This window comes from Homo sapiens, chromosome 2 (genome assembly GCF_000001405.40).
Source record: "Homo sapiens chromosome 2, GRCh38.p14 Primary Assembly".
In the NCBI taxonomy this organism is placed as follows: Eukaryota; Metazoa; Chordata; class Mammalia; order Primates; family Hominidae; genus Homo; species Homo sapiens.
In genome coordinates this window covers 81,189,222-81,207,955 of record NC_000002.12, presented here as the reverse complement: position 1 = coordinate 81,207,955, position 18,734 = coordinate 81,189,222, and the positions used below count along the sequence as shown (strand labels likewise).

Sequence of the window (18,734 nt, the reverse complement as noted above, 5' to 3'; positions counted from 1 at the left end):
TGGTGGTGACAAAATCCCTCAGCATTTGCTTGTCTGTAAAGGATTTTATTTATCCTTTGCTTATGAAGCTTAGTTTGGCTGGATATGAAATTCTGGGTTGAAAATTACTTCCTTTGAGAACATTGAATATTGGCCCCCACTCTTTTCTGGCTTGTAGGGTTTCTGCTGAGAGATCCTCTGTCAGTCTGATGGGCTTCCCTTTGTGCATAACTCGACATTTCTCTCTCGCTGCCCTTAACATTTTTTCCTTCATTTCAACCTTGGTAAATCTGATGATTATGTGTCTTAGAGTTGCTCTTCTCGAGGAGTATCTTTGTGGTGTTCTCTCTATTTCCTGAATTTGAATGTTGGCCTGTCTTGCTAGGTTGGGAAAGTTCTCCTGGACATCCTGAAGATTGTTTTCCAACTTGGTTCCATTCTCCCCGTCACTTTCAGGTATACCAATCAAACATAGATTTGGTCTTTTCCCATAGTCCCATATTTCTTGGAGGCTTTGTTCGTTCCTTTTTATTCTTTTTTCTCTAATCTTGTCTCCTCTCTTTATTTCATTAAGTTGATCTTCAATCACTGATATCCTTTCTTCCGTTTGATTGATTTGGCTATTGATATTTGTATATTCTTCATGAAGTTCGCCTGCTGTGTTTTTCAGCTCCATCAGGTCATTTATGTTCTTCTACATTGGTTATTCTAGTTAGCAATTCGACTAACCTTTTTTTAAGGTTCTTAGCTTCCTTGCATTGGGTTAGAACATGCGCCTGTAGCTCGGAGGAGTTTGTTATTACCCACCTTCTGAAGTCTACTTCTGTCAGTTCGTCAAACTCATTCTCCATCCAGTTTTGGTCCCTTGCTGGCGAGGAGTTGTGATCCTTTGAGGAGGAGAGGCATTCTGGTTTTTGGAATTTTCAGCCTTTTTGCACTGGTTTTTCCCCATCTTTGTGGATTTCTCTACCTTTGGTCTTTGATGTTGGTGACCTTCAGATGGGGTCTTTGTGTGGACATGCTAATCCTTTCTGTGTGTTTCTTTTCCTTCTAACAGTCAGGCCCCTCTGCTGCAGGTCTGCTGGAGTTTGCTGGAGGTCCACTCCCGACCTTGTTTGCTTGGGTGTCACCAGCGGAAGCTGCAGAGCAGCAAAGATTGCTGCCTGTTCTTTCCTCTGGAAGCTTTGTATCAGAAGGGTACCTGCCAGGTGCCAGCCAGAGCTCTCCTGTATGAGGTGTCTGTCAGCCCCTACTGGGAGATGTCTCCCAGTCAGTACACACAGGGGTCAGGGACTCACTTGAGGAGGAAGTCTGACCCTTAGAAGAGTTCAAACGCTGTGCTGAGAGGTCTGTTGCTGTCTTCAGAGCCATCAGGCAGGGATGTTTAAGTCTGCTATAAGCCCCTGACTGGGGCTGCTGCCTTTTTTACAGAGATACCCTGTCCAGAGAGGGGAAATCTGGCAGTCTGTCCACAGCAGCCTTGCTGAGCTGCAGTGGGCTCCACCCAGTTCGAACTTCCCACCGGCTTTGTTTACACTGTGACTGTAAACCACCTACTCAAGCTTCAGCAATGGCAGATGCCCCTCCACCCCACCAAGCTGGAATGTCCCAGGTGGATCTCAGATTGCTGTCGTGCTGGCAGCAAGAATTTCAAGCCAGTGAATCTTAGTTTCCTGGGCCCTGTGGGGGAGGAATCTGCCGTGCCAGACCACTTGGCTCCCTGGCTTTGGTACCCCTTTCCAGGGGAGTAAACGGTTCTGTCTCACTGGTGTTCCAGGCGCCACTGGGGTATGGAAAAAAAAAGAGCTCCTGCAGCTAGTTCGGTGTCTGCCCAATTGGCCGCCAGTTTTGTGCTTGAAACCCAGGGCCCTGGTGGGGTAGGCACCAGAGAGAATCTCCTGGTTTGCGCATTGAGAAGACCGTGGGGCAAGCACAGTATCGGTGCTGGAGTTCCTCAGGCTCAGACCCTCACTGCTTCCCTTCCCTTGGGTAGGGGAGAAAATTCCCCAACCCTTTGCACTTACCAGGTAAGGCGACCCTGCCCTGCTTTGGCTCGCCCTCCCACTGTCCAACCAGTCCCAAAGAGATGATCTGGGGACCTCAGTTGGAAATGCAGAAATCACCTGCCTTCTGTGTTGATCTCACTGGGAGCTGCAGACTGGAGCTGTTCCTACTTAGCCATCTTGAGTCCTCCCACCATCACTATTTTAATAAGCCCTCCTGTGATTCTGATGCAAGGTAACATTTAAGAAACACTGAACTCAACTATGTAAAGGCATCTTCTTTTTTCTGCCTTCTAGAACAGCCTGGGAAGGATATGTCTACACTACAGAGGGCTAATCTCCAGTATCAGGAACAAAGCTGACAGATATCTAGGCATCTAATTTGTCCATGCCTCTCATTTCCTCTTGAAATCATTCAAAATCCCTGTTAGGTGGTAGAACCATGATAATTATGAGGTCAAAATTCTTGAGCAGACTCTAATATTAAGAAGGCTGTTTCTGTCATGGAATAATACACAGACATAAAAAACTGAAATTATGTCTTTTGCAGCAACATGGATGCAGCTGGAAGCCATTATTCTAAGAGAATTAATGTAGGTACAGAAAACCAAATACTTTATGTTGTCACTTATAAGTGGTAGCTAAATATTGAGCACACATGAACACAAAGAAGGGAAAAACAGACACCAGGGCCTACTTGAGGGGAAAGGGTGGGAGGACGGTGAGGGTCGAAAACAACACCTACCAGATACTATGCTCACTATTTGGGTGATGAAATCATTTATACACCAAACCCCAGCAAAATGCAATTTAACCATGTAACAAACCTGCACATGTACCCCTGTATTTAAAATAAAAGTTGAGAAAACAAAAAGAATCTGGTTTCTTTCTAGAGGTATTAACTTTCACTTTCAAGTATTCAAAGTAATCATTTTATTCTTACAACACCTACCTACTTTATCTACTACTATTAAAATAGTAGGATATTATTTTTTTCTCATAAATTTCAGTCCATTTAATTAAAACATAATGCAAAATGTTTTTAGAAAGTTTCTGTGTCATTGTTGGAAGTTCAAATATAACTTGAGAATAAAATAGCTCAAGGGGACATTTGAGCTTTAGGTTTTAGGGCAGTTAATTGTGGATAATAATAATAGCTTACTGAGTGAGAGCTATGAGTCAGATGCTGTTCAGAGGCTCGTATATGTATAGTCTTAGTTAATCTTCATAAACAACATATGGAATATTATTATCCTTATTTTTACATGAGAAAACTGAGACACACAAAGGTTATATAGTTTTCTTATGGTCATAAAACTACTAAGTGAGAGAAACATGTTTATAATGGAGGCAATCTGCCTGCACAGCTCAAACTCTTAACCGTGACAATGGACTACTTGCCATATGTGAGCAAGAGCTGACAAGTAAAAGATGGAAAACTCTATGAGATTATTTGATAAATGGAAAGTAGTTTATGAAGATACATTTGGTTCTTAAAGGAAAAACACTTTTGATATGATACAGACATGAGAATATTGATTGTAATTTGAGAAAAAGTTGTGATTCTCTATCAAAATCAGTATAAAAAGCCAATTAATGTATTAAAGCAAAAAAAAGAGTAATATTTAGGATGGCATAATAACTAATTAACTTTTTAAAAAACTTGAGGCATTCCATACAAATTAATATTCAAAATGTTATAAATTATAGCCATTTATGATGACAATCTTTCAAAATCAGATTACAAATACACATGTGTGTGTGTATATACACATAAAAAATACATATACTTTTTTTCTCAGAATAATTTAAATATAAATCAGACTGTTTTTGTTGTTGAGAGTTCACATCATAAATATTGGTTCTGATGCAGTAAGTTCTTATACGGGTTGGAAAACATGAGACACATTTGTCCAGTAATAAGCAGTATCTGGCTCATAGTTGGCCATATATATATTAGGCATAAGATTGAAGTTGTGTTTTGGGATCAAATCATAGAGTGCTGTTGTGTAACTTAAAGACCTTGAATTTTATTTGGCATATAATGAGATATAGAATCTATTATTATTTTTTTAAATCAGGAATTGTATAATCAAGGATAACTTTCAGAAATAACAATGTGTAAGAAGGACAAAAACAAAAAAAAATAGACTCAGAAATAAATTGTGAGGTTACTGAAATTTTCTAGGCTAGAGACAATGGAGGTATAAAGTAGAGTGTTTCAAATGGAGTTTAAAGGAGGAGTCAGAAATAAGGGGCATTTCAGTATCATAATCAACACCAGGTGAGAATGAGAGAAGGGAGAAGTCAGGGATGATGGCAAGACTTTAAGCCCTAAGTGATCGATGAACAGTGGCATCGTTAATAAGAAACACTAAAATAAAAGCTCTCCAGCCTACCTCCACCACTGCAGTCACCGCTAAGACAACTGATTCCACTTCTGACAGTGACAAGATGGGATGTGATTTCTATAAAATCTCTTTCAGCTCAAAAAGTCCATAATGTTATAAAAATACATTTGAAATTAAAAGTAACAAAGGCATCTTATCAGGTATATAATGAATATATAGAGATAGGTGTTAGTAACAGGTTGGAAAATGCCCCAAAATCAAATTCTAACATGTTTACATAATATTTATGAAGACACACACACACACAAACACACACACACCCTAAATATGAGATAATTGATTCAACTCTTGCTCTATGTCTCTTTCAGCAATTTGAAGACCTCTAATTTGCTAGCAACAATGATACCACTTTTATGTTACTGAGTATGAGTAATATTGTAAGGTTTAAGTTTAAGACTTGGGTTATGATTTGCAGAAGCTCAGCTGACAGCCTTCCTTAAGAACTGAGGAAAAATTCTGCCTCATGGTAATAAAAACCTTTTCTTCTAACTCCTCAAGAACAGCTTTAATTAACTCTTTCTTTTGCACCTACATTGGGTAACGTGGTCTTTACAATCAGTGTCTCAGATAACGAACATAGTTCAGAGAAAAGAATCTGGCTCAAAGTCCAGATGTACCAAAGTATTGTTCTTTCCTAACCACTCAACCTCCTGCTGCTTATTTTTTTAAACTCTCTTCCAAATTTACATAGTAGAGAAAATGATAACTTTGGAGAACACTCATGTTTTTGCCTGTGGTATAAAAATAAATCTCAGGTTATGAGGCTAAGGTTTGCATAAGTGCACTACCTAGCACTGTGATTCTATTACATTTATTTTCTCCTTCTTCAAACAATTCTAAATACTTCTGCCAGAGCAATTTTTTCTTTTACTATATCATTTTCTGGCTCAAGAATTGTCAGTGTTTTTCTGATTCCATATCAACAATTTTCGGACTCTTAGCTGGCATTCACTGTCACCCAGTATTTGATCCTACTCAAATTATGCCACTTTCTCTCGTTTTAATTTTGACCTGCTCTCCAGTATACACTCTTTCCCACCAACACAGGCCATTCTCAACTGCCTGCACAGTTTTCTATGTGTTCCTCTCTCTGTCTAGAATTACCCTTTTTTCCTCCTTCTCCCTAAATCCTACAAGTTTTTAGAAGTGCTGCTCTAGGTCCCCCTCTTCTAAGACTCCTTTTCTGGTCTACAGTGATCTCCATCTACTCTGGAGCTCTGCTGCACATCTAATAAACTTAAACACATTCATACTTAGCTCTACCATTTGTTTCACCATCTCAGTTCTATCACTCCAACTAGATTTTTTTTATCCAGAGTAATAGGTGATACAACATCTTCTTTAGTCAGTATTTGGCCATGTGATGGGGACATACTTTGATCTATCCATATGCGTTTTCTTAAAAACTCCCATCTTGTTTATGATTATTGTGTGCAGTATCTTCTACCCAAATGTGTCTGTCTGTTTCATGGGTTGATTTAAATAATGGTCATTTTGTTCATTTTAAACAAGTGTTGAGATATCTACTACATTGTAAACACTGTAATAAATATAGAGAGTTAAACATAATGCTACAAAATAAACCACCAGAAAATCTCAGTGGTATACAAAAATAAGCATTTATATCTGTATCACAGATGTCTTCACATCATCTCAGGTTTAGCCATCTAGGCTAGGCTCAGCTGTGTTTGGCCCCAATGTCTGAGGTTGTTCTAGGTCTGCTCTAAGTGTTATTCATTATCCTTGGATCAGAGGAAGTGCAAAGTGGTGCTGCCAATGGAAAAAGATGGAGGAGAAGAGCACAAAGTCAATCATATATGCTCATTTCAAGTGTTCACTCATATCTTGTCCATTAATATTATGTTCGTGAAAACAAGTGATTGTGGCCAAGCACCAAGTCAATGGAGGTAAAGGAAGCCATGACAATGGTATGAGGATGAGTATGTAAATAACTACTACATGGAACTGATAAATTGGAAACAATAATTCACTCTATTACAAGAAGGTAGACATACAAAATTGACTTTTTTTGGTGGTGCTATCTTGAAGCTTATATTCTCTTTAGGGAAACTGGTAAGCTAAAAAGTGATTACAACTTAGTAATATAAGTGAAACATGTAAGATCCTTTTCACACTGGCCTAAAGTAGTATATAAAACCCCACTACTTATCTGCAAGATGTAGAATAGGTATTAGCTGATATTGATGCTTTGTGGTTATTGAACACAGGTTAGATATTCATGAAAGCAGAGAAGTGGTAAGTAGCCATAATTAGAAAGAAGGTTGTTGAAAGAGTAGAGGAAGCCATCGAAGGCATTATTTTTTATTTTTTTTACCATATATCTATGAGTCACTGAAATAGAAGAGAAAGGTGCTCTGAATGAACCTGTTAAAAAAGTATTACAGAAAAGAAACAAAATCCAATAGTTTTATCTCTATACTCAAAATGGAGGTTAAAAGTTACACTAAAAATAACACTATTGCACCAAAGAAAGCATCCCATCATATTCTGTCAGACACATCAGACGAGGAGGACGTGAGTGTCACCATGGGGACACAGGAGAGAAGCTGAGACTCTCGGCACATACAATATTGCCTGGTAGTAAGAAATGGGAGGCTTCTAATGCCAAGCAGCAGAAGGAAAAAAAAATGAAAAAGAAGTGAAGGAAAACAGATAAACAAAAGGCAGAGAGGTTTGCTTTGGAAAATGGATTGACAAGTTCTTTTCCTCAGAGTCGGAAAGTGAGTCCTCAGAGAGTGGGGAGGATGACAGGGACTCCATGGGGAGCTCCAGCTGCCTCAAGTGTTCCCCGCTGGTGTTGAAGGACCCCTCCCTGTTCATCTCCCTGTCTGCCTCCTCCACCTCATCTCATGGGGGCTCTGCTACCCAGAAGCAGAACCCCAACAATACAAACCAGCACACCAAGCACTGGCAGACAGACAATTGGAAAACCATTTCTCTCCTGGCTTGGTCAGAGGTCAGTTCTTTATCAGAATCCACAAGGAGGAGACTGACAAGCCAGTCTGATTACTCCTCTGGGGGCTCCAGTGTGGAATCGCTGAAACCAGTGAGGAAGAAGCCAGAGCACAGGAAGCTGGGCAGGCTGCAGGGCTCCCTGTCAGAGAAGAGAAGCCCCTTCCTCTCCAGCGCAGAGGGCACCGTCCCCAAGCTGAACAAGGAGGGGAAAGTTGTCAAAAAAACATAAAACAAAACACAAACACAAAAACAAGGAGAAGGGACAGTGTTCTATCAGCCAAGAGCTGAAATTGGAACGTTTTACGTATGAATATGAGGACTACAAGCAAAAGTCAGATTAAGGCTATACTTTTAGAGAATGATATTTCCACTGAAAATAAGTTAAAAGTGTTATAGCTTGATCGAGACCACTTTAAAAAAGAAGAGAAACTTAGCAAAATGATATCAGAAGAGAAAGAATGGCTCTTTAAAGATGAGATCATTAAGGTCTCCAAAGATGAAAAATCACTGAAGAGAATCAAAGGCATGAACAAAGATATCAGCAGATCTTTCCAAGAAGAGAAAGACTGTTCGAATACAGCAGAAAAGGAGAAATCTCTGAAGGAAAAGTCTTCAAAGGAAGAAAAACTGAGACTGTACAAAGAGGAGAGAAAGAGTAAGTGAAAAGACGGGCCGTCAAAATTAGAGAAAAAGAATGATTTAAAAGAGGACAACATTTCAAAAGAGAAGGAGAAGACTTTTAAAGAAGATAAAGAAAAACTCAAAAAAGAAAAGGTTTATAGGGAAGATTCTGCTTTTGATGAATATTTTAATAAAAATCAGTTTCTGGAGAATGAAGACATCAAATTTAGCCTTTCTGACAATCAGCCAGATCGGTGGTTTTTTTGACTTGTCTGATTCATCCTTTGATTTCAAAGTGGGAGACAGCTGGGACTCTTCAGTGACAGACTACAGGGACTTGAAGAATAACTCTGTGGCCAAGCTGATCTTAGAAACAGTGAAGGAGGACAGCCAGGAGAGGAAGCAGGACAGCAGGGCCCGGGAGAAGCGAGACTACAGAGAGCCCTTCTTCCAAAAGGACAAGGACTATTTGGATAAAAACTCTGAGAAAAGACCAGACTGAAAAGCACAAAGTGTCCCCGGCTACCTTTTGGAAAATGACAAAAAGAGGAGAGAGAGTCCGTAGAGGCCAGCCAGGACAAAAAGGACACCCTCCAGAGCTCCAAGGAGCACAGGGACTGCAGGGCCAAGCCAGAGGAGGCACACCGCACACCGCGAGGAGCTGAAGGAGTGAGGCTACCAGAGTGTCTTCAAGGAAAAGTCTGACTGCGATTTTGGGAAGGGCCTGGAACCGTGGGAACTGCAAGACCCAGTGCAAGAGAAGAAGGACGGCCTTGATAAGGAAAGGAAGGAGAAAACAAATCCAGAAAAATACAAACAGAAGTCCAGTAACAAGGACAAAAGTGAGAAATCTATCCTCGAAAAATGTCAGAAGGACAGAGAATTTGATAAATGTTTTAAAGAGAAAAAAGATACCAAGGAATAAACACAAATACACACATGGCAAAGACAAAAAAAAGGAAAGTGTCTCTTGACCAAGGGAAAGAGAAAAAGGAGAAAACTTTCCCTGGGATTATCTCAGAAGACTTCTCTGAAAAAAAAAATGACAAGAAAGGCAAGGAGAAAAGCTGGTACGTCGCAGACGTATTCACAGAAGAGAGAGAGGATGACAAAGACAACTACATGGGGAGTAGGTTCAAGATCGGAGAGGCCAGCGACTTACAGAGGATGGATGACCTCTAGGAGAAGGACGAAGGGCGGGAGGCCTATGCCTCTGACAGACACAGGAAGTCCTCTTCTGATGAGCAGCACCCAAGAGGCAAAAGGACAAGGAGCCCAAAGACAAGAGAAAGGACACAGGGGCTGCTGACGGTGTGACAGATAAAAAAGAGAAAGTCCTTGAAAAGCACAAGGAGAAGAAGGTTAAAGAGTACCAGAAAAGTATAAGAACAGGACGGAAAGAGCTTCAGTGGACTCCACACAAGATAAGAAAAATAAACAGAAGCTCCCTGAGAAGGCTGAAAAGAAACAGTCTGCTGAAGACAAGGCTAACAGCAAACACAAAGAGAAGTCAGATAAAGAATATTCCAAGGAGAGGAAGTCCTTGAGAAGTGCTGACATGGAAAAAAGCCTGCTTGAAAAGTTGGAAGAAGCTCTCCATGAGTACAGAGACGACTCCAGTGATAAAATCAGTGAGGTCTCCTCTGACAGCTGCACAGACTGAGGGCAGGAGCCAGGGATGACTGCCTTCCTGGAGATCTCTCTCAAGCAGCCACCCATGTAGGAGGAGGCCAGGGAGAGCGCCTGCCTCCCGGAGAAGCTGAAAGAGAAGGAGAGGCACAGACACTCCTCATCCTCATCCAAGTAGAGCCACTACTGAGAGAGACAGCCAAGAAAGAAAAGTCCCAGAAGAGAAGGGCAGAGATTACAAGGAGGGCGGCAGCAGGAAGGACACCGGCCAGTATGAAAAGGACTTCCTGGAGATGGTTGCTTATGGAGTTTCTTACAACATGAAAGCTGTCATAGAAGATAGGCTAAATAAAACCGTTGAATTATTTTCTACCGAAAAGAAAGATAAAAATGATTCAGAGAGAGAAACTTCCAAGAAAATAGAAAAGGAACTAAAGCCTTATGGATCTAGTACCATCAACATCCTAAAAGTGAAGAATAAGAGAGAGAAACAAAGGGAGAAATTGACAGACGAGAAGAGGAAGAACCGGAACAGGCATGCAGACTGGCTCCTGCGGCATCACAGGGACCAAGCAGAAGCCCACTGCCAGGGACAAGGACAGCCCTCCCCGTGCACTCAAAGACAAGTCCAGGGATGAGGACCCGAGGCTCAGGAAGGCCAAACTGAAGGAGAAATTCAAGGACAGTGCAGAAAAAGAAAAGGACGACTCTGTGAAGATGAGCAAAGGGGATGATAAAGTATCGCCATCCAAAGACCCAGGCAAGAAAAATGCCAGGCCCAGGGAAAAGCTCCGGGGGGATGGCGACATGATGATAATCAGCTTCCAGAGGATGTTCTCCCAGAAGGACCTGGAGATCGAGGAGCGCCACAAGGGGCACAAGGAGAGGATGAAGCAGATGGAGAAGCTGAGGCACCAGTCCAGAGACCCCAACCTCAAGGAGAGGGCGAAGCCAGCAGACGACGGGCGGAAGAAGGGTCTGGAAATTCCTGCCAAGAAACCTCCGGGGCTGGACCCTCCCTTTAAAGACAAAAAGCTCAAGGAGTTGACTCCTATTCCACCTGCTGCCGAAAATAAGCCACGCCCAGGATCAGGTGCAGACTCCAAAGACTGGCTCGCAGGGCCTCACATGAAAGAGGTCCTACCTGCATCTCCTAGGCCTGACCAGAGCCGACCGGTGTGCCCACCCCTACGTCGGTGCTGTCCTGCCTCAGCTACGAGGAGGTGATGCACACGCCCAGGACCCCGTCCTGCAGCACCGATGACTACACGGACCTTGTGTTCGACTGCGCCCACTCCCCGCCCTCCACGCCCGTGCCCACTGCTCCCTCCAGTGCCTGCCTGCCTCCTTTTTTGACAGGTTCTCCGCGGCATCAAGTGGGCTTTTGGAAAACGCCAGCCAGGCTCCTGCCAAGCCTCTCTCCATAAACTTTTACCGCTAGGTCTCTGCTGATATTAGGAGGACTCCCTAGGAGGAATTCAGCTTGGAAGACAAGCTCCTCAGGCAGCAGAACGTTCCTGCCGCCTCCAGCTACGACTTTACCCTGCCGCACTAGACGGAAGACAGGGCGCCCCTGCCCCCGGTTCCCGTGGAGAAGTTTGCTTGCTTGTCCCCAGGGTAATATTCCACAGACTATGGCCTCCCCTCGCCCAAAGTCGATGCTCTACCACTGTCACTGTCACCCCGTCTCCAGAGGGCGTCTTCTCAAATTTACAAGCAAAACCTTCCCCTTCCCCCAGAGATAAGCTGCTGGTTCCTTCCCTCGAAGGGGCCATTCCCCCGCACCTGGACGCCACCGAGGACCAGCAGGCTACAGCCCCCATCATCCCCCCGGAGCCCAGCTACCTGGAGCCGCTGGAAGAGGGTCAGCACCGTCATCACTGAGGAGCCTGTCGAGTGGGCCCACCCCGCCGAGCAGGCCCTCGCTTCCAGCCTGATCGGGAGCGCCTCTGAAAACCCTGTCAGCTGGCCTGTGGGCTCAGAACTCCTGCTGAAGTCTCCACAGAGATTTCCTGAGTCCCCAGAATACTTCTGCTCCGCGGACTCCCTCCACTCTGCAGCCCCAGGGCCCTTCAGCGCCTCAGAGGTGCCATACCCGCCCCCCCCTTTCCGCCTCTCTCTCCCAGAACACTCTGCTCATCGCTGAGCCAGGACTGGAGGATGTCAAAGACAGGGTGGAAGCCATCCCCGCCACCATCTCTACCTCAGAGGCGGCTCCTTACGCCCCTCCCTCCGGGCTGGAATCCTTCTTCAACAACTGCAAGTCACTTCCGGAATCTCTGCTGGACATGGCCCCTGAGGCCTGTAACCACTGTGGCTCAGGTGGAGGCTCTGGAACCCCTGGAAAATAGCCTCCTGGACAACAGCCACAGCCTGTCTACCCTCCGCCAGGTGGAGCCGATGCCCTGGGCAGACGCCTTCGCCGGCTCCGAGGACGACCTGGACCTGGGGTCCTTCTCACTGCCGGAGCTTCCCTTGCAGACTAAAGATGTCCCAGATGTTGAAACAGAACCCACAGAAGAAAGTCTTGCTCCTTCAGAAAAGATCCCTCCAGGGGCCCCTGTGGTCGTAAGGGTGGGGATGTTTCCGCTTTAGTGGCTAAGGAGCAGCCGTCACTGCCTCCTGACCAGGCCTCCACCCAGCTCCCCACAGAGCTCGAGCCTGAGCCCTCAGAGGAGCCAAAGCTGGACGTGGCTCTAGAAGCTACGGAGGCAGAAGCAGTGCCAGAAGAGAGGGCCTCTGGGGATCTGGACTCCAGCATGGAGCCCACACCCGTTCGCCCTGAACAGTGCCAACTGGGAAGCAGAGACCAGGGGGCCGAGGCTGAACACCTCCTACCCCCTGCCGCATCCCTCTGTGCCCCCGACACCCCTTGCCCCCCATGGACACTGTGGCACAAGCCCAGGCTGCGGACAGTGCTGGCCCCCACGACAACACTGCGGCCTCCCGTGCTGCCGCCCCAGCCGAAGGCCCTCCCTGCGGCATCGACCCAGAAGCCACAGAATCAGAACCAAAACCCACGGCCGAAGCCCCGAAAGCCCCCAGAGTGGGGTAGATCCCTCACTGCATCACCAGGAACCGGCAGATGCTCGTGAACGAGAGCAAGTAGGGCACACCTCACTCCAAGGAGTGTGCCTCAGGCCCGCGGCTCGGAGGAGGACTACGCCCAGCCCAGCATCCGCGCAAACGCCACTTCCAGCACTCCACCCAGCAGCTGAACACGTCCACGCAGCAGACGCGGGAGGTGATCCAGCAGACGCTGGCCACCATCGTGGACGCCATCAAGCTGGACGCCATCTACCCCTACCACAGCGACAGGGCCAACCCCTACTTCGAATTCCTGCACATCAGGAAGAAGATCGAGGAGAAGCGCAAGATTCTGTGCTGCATCACGCCACAGGCGACCCAGTGGTACGCCGAATACGTCACCTACACGGGCTCCTATCTCCTGGACGGCAAGTCTCTCAGCAAGCTCCACATGCCCATGATCGCACCCCCTCCCTCGCTGGTGGAGTCCCTGAACTAGCTGTTCAGGCAGCAGGAGCCGGTCCGGGAAAAGCTACGTCTGCAGCACAGCATCGAGCAGTAGAAGCTGATATGTCCTATGAGCAGGAGATTCTGCAGGTTCACTGCTGGGCAGCCAGGATCATCGCCAACCAGGCAGTGCCATTCAGCGCCTGCACGATGCTGCTGGACTCTGAGGTTTAAAACATGCCCCTAGAGAGCCAGCGCGACGAGAACAAGTCAGTGCGCGACCGGCTCAACACCAGCCAGTTCATCTCCTGGCTCCATGACTTGGACCACAAGTACAACCGCATGAAGACCTGCTCACGTGGCAGCAGCACGAGGCCGCGGCCCTAAACGCCATGCAGAGGATGGAGTGGCAGCTGAAAGTGCAGAAGCTGGACCCCGCTGGGCACTAGTCCCTGTGCGTGAACGACGTGCCCTCCTTCTACGTGCCCATGGTCGACGTCAACGACGACTTTATGTTGTTGCCGCGGTGCGGGATGACTGCAGGTTGCAGGCGAGGGCTGCATGGCTGCGCTGAGCCCCAGGGGCCGAGGAGGGAGCGCCACGTCCACCCGGGCGGGGAGAGACCCCCAGAGAGACGCCACAGCGTCTCCGTCCCTTCCAGACTGGTCCAGACGTCGAGGAGGTAAAACACGTCTCTTGTCTACCAGCTGCCGCGGCGGGGGCAAAGCCCCCAGAGCCTCACCGGCCCCGGCGGGAGGAGAAGACCATGCCGGGGGCACACGTGGCAGCTTCTATCTGAAAATGGTAACCTTCGGACCCTTTTCTCCAGCCAACTGCAGAGGCATTTCAGGAGTTGGAGAATGGAGTGGATTTTTAATTTTTTTTTGTTCCATTCTGATCAACTAAAGAAAATAAAATTAAGGTGTCCATGTCTCACAAACAGTGACCTCCAGGTAGGAGGGGCAGGTGTGCCGTCCCAGCCATGGTCCTGTTGCCACAGAGCTGCAACGGCCTCAGACTGGGCTTAGGACCTGGTGCGGAGCAGGACATTGGCCGTGCCACCTGCCCAGGCAGAGGGACACAGAACCAGGACCCCCGTACTGTTTTTAATGCAGTCAAATCCACGTGGTTGGTATCTTTTTTCTTTTAATCTTGGGCATTTTGTTTCTCTTTCTGAGAACATAACTTGAACCACTACAGAGCCAATAATCATATAAAAAGTGTATCTGCAAACGCTGTATAGTTTTATGTAAATTCACAATGTACTTTTGCTGCCTTCTAGATAATTTAGTTTGCAACACATTACTGCACAGTTGTAAATAACTTCTGTACTGTAACATCACTTTCAGCTATGTGTAAAGGAATAAATAAATTAATTTTTTAAAAAGCTAGACATGTGGCAGGAGCCTCTAGCACAGTCTGTAAGATGCTAAACTCCTGGAAGTAACTCATTTGATGTTAGAAATTGTTTAATTTGTATTTTCTCCCCCTTATAACTCAATACATAGCTACTGCAACAACTGAAATTACCACATGATGCTCACACACACATACAGGCACACACACAGCCCATACATAGGAGGAGTTCTGAGTTGGTCATTGGCAGAACAGCATTATCAGGAGTATAAAATTGAGACAGCACACTGAGTAAAACTTTTAGAGTTACAAAGGATTTATAAAGGGAAAAACTCATTCAGTTGTTGGGTCAGATAATTCTCTGATAGAGAGGTCCAGGGAAAATGTGGTGGTGAGTAGAAAGCTAAGCCTAATTCAGCTCTTTGTGTCATAAAGGAGGGGTCCTGTTAATCATTTCCTGGTGTTACAGTGAGAATGAAGAAGGATCAAACAGAAAAGATTAAGCATTAAGTGTAAGAAAAATGTGTCAATAATTAAGTTACCCTGTTTGCTATACCCTATGCTTTAATTTATAAATCATGAGTCTCCTTAACCCACTAATTACCTATTCCATTCATTAGTGTAACCCACTAATTACCCATTCCATTCCATAGGAATGTAAATTTGAAGTTCAAGTGTTAAGACACATTCTCTGTCATTAATAACAGGGTAGGCTTCCATAAAAGAACTCAGAATCATGGTCTCAGCAATGGATCATAGCTCAATGCAGCCACAGATTCATGTAGAGAATGGCAAAGTTTCTGGAACCTGCAGTTGGAAAAAAGTAATCCTACTTTGATGTTTCATAACTCAAGGCACAATACAACTTCTGCTCCTTCATCCCATCCAACTCCAGCACCAGATTCCCTACCCATTCACAGCCTCATATCCCAAATTTCCATTCAAAGTAATTTGGGATAAGATGTATATGAAGTCCATTTATGGTGGAGACTTTGAATTTTTAAGGCAAAGCTTGTTAACTGCAAAAGGATAGAGTGAATTGCCGAGTTAGAAATTAGAATCATATATACATGATTCTAATTTATATATGATTAGAATTATATATACACTATATATATTCTATATAATATATATATTCCATATATATATATATATATGGAAAAGAAACAACCAGAACTGAGGGCTGATCAGGCCAAAGGTTTGGGATAAATGACAGCACAATTTGCAGGGGGGAAATCAAGAGTGCTTAATCACAGATAAGAGATCCACTTATAAGTGAATCTAATCAGATCTGACAATCCTGCACATTCAAGTTGGAGGCAAGCAGTTGGCGCTGTGGAATTTGTGAGCAGATCATAGGGCAATTGCCATCAGAGGCTCTATACTTCAGAGAAATTTAGATGTTATACAGTTTATAAAGACAGAAAATCAAGTCTAAGGGAAAAAAATAGTGGTTGTTAGAACTACAACATGGACTATAGTTCCAGGAGCAAAGCAAGTGTTGGTTATCAGGACTTCGGTACTCACAAGTTAAACGTAGCTGATGAGTAGAAGGTGGCAATGTTGAAATCCTTAGAATTAAATTGGGGAGGATTTAAATACTTCAGTACTGGCCTTAGAAACTGGATAGAGCTTACTCTGGTAGACAAGAATCTAGAAACACCAACTGTGGGTAAAGAAAATAAACAAGATGAACATTAGTGAACACCCAATGTATTATAAAACAGAATGGATTGGTGAATAACTCCCTATTTGCTGAATAGCAAACTGGTCTTGATAAAAATTTCTCGATTCTCCATCCTCTCGGGCAATTCCAAATTATATGCCAGTCCAAATGCAGTTTTTTCTGCAGAATCTTTATGTCTGGCCAAATAATGGCAAAGTAAATTAATATAATTGATGTGACACTATAATGTGGCCCACATCTAGAAAAACATGAGGATTTACTATAGTTTGGCTTCCCTTTTAAGAGAATTCTCCTTGGAAAAGTGAAAATACGCCCCACCAAAAACAGGGGTTTCAGTTTGCATGCTTATATAACTTTTTATTTTTGAAAAACAAACGTTTATACCTAGAAAGCTATCAACCTAGAAAAAAAAGAAATAAACCCAGAAAGTTTATATTATTTATCTGAGGCAAAAATGCCCGTATCATTAATTCCAAACACATACCTCAACTTTCACAAAAATTCCAATATTTGGTGCCCATGTTAGGTCTCACAGTGTTATAAAACTTCCTCAGATCTTTGAGCTTATGAATCCTTAAGTGACAATGATGATGATGATGAAGATGATGATGATGATGATGGCAATAATGATGAAATAATACCAGCTACTATTTATTGAAGACCATAAATTATGTAGAACATATTTTATCAATTTTTATATATATTGATAACTACAATATAGGTATTATAACTACATTTCATGGATGAGGAAATGTGCTCAAAAAATTTGGACGATCTCTTTGAGGTCCCACAGCAAGTACACACAAGTTGCTTTGCAAATTTAGGCCCAAGCCTATGCTGTGGTGCTTCTATTCTAGGGCATAAGAAAGAAGGCATTGTCTCCTCAATAAAGGACTTAAAATTCTGTCTTATATGCCTCTCCCCAGTTTATTTCCCACATAGATGTTTGAGGATTTATTCACATATGTCCACAGCTCCAATGGGAAACACCTTGACATAATCCTAGAGAAACAATATGGCTTAGACATATATTAGAGAACATTGCTGGCAGAAATCAGCTAGGAGAAACTCAACTTGTTTCCATCATTGATGGAACCTCATAAAACATCTGGGGAGACCACAAAAGCAAAGGCAGCTTGTATCATGGAAGAGATGGAAAACCACCTTGCAGTTTGAGATAGTAACAGATGTTGAGGGTCAGATATCAGATTCCAGATATCCAACATACCCAGTTTACTGTCGAATTAACCATCATGACAGAAACGAGGAAAAACTCAAACAGTTCCTAAAATAAGTCAATAGCTGGCCGGGGGCGGTGGCTCACGCCTGTAATCCCAGCATTTTGGGAGGCTGAGGCGGGTAGATCACAAGGTCAGGAGATCGAGACCATCCTGGCTAACACGGTGAAACCCCGTCTGTACTAAAAATACAAAAAATTAGCCGGGCGTGGTGGCGGGCGCCTGTAGTCCCAGCTACTCGGGAGGCTGAGGCAGGAGAATGGCGTGAACCCAGGAGGCGGAGCTTGCAGTGAGCCAAGATCGCGCCATTGCACTCCAGCCTGGGCGACAGAGCAAGACTCCGTCTCAGGAAAAAAAAAAAAAAGTCAATAGCTTGTTACGATTCTGAGAGAAATATTATAATTCTTGTAGCTTCTAATTATTGTTTAATGGGCACTTTGGTTATCCCCTGAAGATAGATTGAAGAAGTCAACTATTTTGACATCCATAAGCATGTAGGAGATTAGGAATTGCCATTGTCATTTCACAGAACAGGCAACAAAATTTCATACTGATAGAGTGGTCTGTTCAAAGTCATATAATTATCAGTGGCTGCATGACTAAAGGCACATCCTTTTCTTAATGCAGAATAGCTATGGACTAAATTGTGTTCCCCAAAATGAGAATGATATGTGGTGATGAGATGTTTGGGAGGTAATTAGACACAAATAAGGTTACGAAAGGGGAGCCCTCATGACGGTATTAGTGTCCTTATAAGAAGAGAAATGAGAGTGTGCTTTCTCTCTCTCTACCAAATGAGGACACAGTGAGAAGGTGGCTGTCTGAAAGCTCAGGAAGAGAGCCTTCTCCAGTAATTCGTCCACACCTTGATACTAGATTTCTCAGCCTCCAGAACTATAAGAAAATACATTTCTGTTGCTTAAGCCGCTCAAACTCTGATTATTTTTTATGGCAGTTGGAACTCACTAAAACAAGGATCCTTTCCTCCTCCTACTCACCTTGTGGGAGTATGAAAACTGAGGGGCCCCAGACTGCAAAGAAGGGTTCTGAAGGCAGTATTGCTAATCTCCTCCTGACTTAACATCTGCTATGGTTTGAATGTGTCCCCTCCAAAATTCAGTTGTTACCAATGTGATAGTATTAAGAAGTTAGTCCTTCAAGAGGTGATTATATAATAAGGGCTGCTTCCTTATGAATGGGATTAAAACTCCTATAAAGGAGACTTCAGGCAGCATTCCTCTGGATTGCCCTTCCACTTTCTGCAATGTGAAGACACAGTATTATTTTTTTCTGGAGGATGCAGCAACAAGGCCTCATCTTGGAAGCAATAAGTAGCCCTCACAAGACAAATGAACCTGCT

General features: G+C 44.2%; 1 pseudogene, besides 3 other annotated features; it reads left to right on the top strand.

Moving 5' to 3' along the window:
* Positions 1,296-1,795: an enhancer, noted in NCBI's record as "H3K4me1 hESC enhancer chr2:81433285-81433784 (GRCh37/hg19 assembly coordinates)". NCBI's record gives its function as "activates a minimal SCP1, AML or CMV promoter by ChIP-STARR-seq in primed H9 embryonic stem cells {active_cell/tissue: H9 hESC(primed)}" and the evidence as "EXISTENCE:reporter gene assay evidence [ECO:0000049][PMID:30033119]".
* Positions 6,777-13,817, top strand: ANKRD11P1 (ANKRD11 pseudogene 1; annotated as a pseudogene).
* Positions 13,146-13,645: an enhancer, noted in NCBI's record as "H3K27ac-H3K4me1 hESC enhancer chr2:81421435-81421934 (GRCh37/hg19 assembly coordinates)". NCBI's record gives its function as "activates a minimal SCP1, AML or CMV promoter by ChIP-STARR-seq in naive H9 embryonic stem cells {active_cell/tissue: H9 hESC(naive)}" and the evidence as "EXISTENCE:reporter gene assay evidence [ECO:0000049][PMID:30033119]".
* Positions 13,646-14,147: an enhancer, noted in NCBI's record as "H3K27ac-H3K4me1 hESC enhancer chr2:81420933-81421434 (GRCh37/hg19 assembly coordinates)". NCBI's record gives its function as "activates a minimal SCP1, AML or CMV promoter by ChIP-STARR-seq in naive H9 embryonic stem cells {active_cell/tissue: H9 hESC(naive)}" and the evidence as "EXISTENCE:reporter gene assay evidence [ECO:0000049][PMID:30033119]".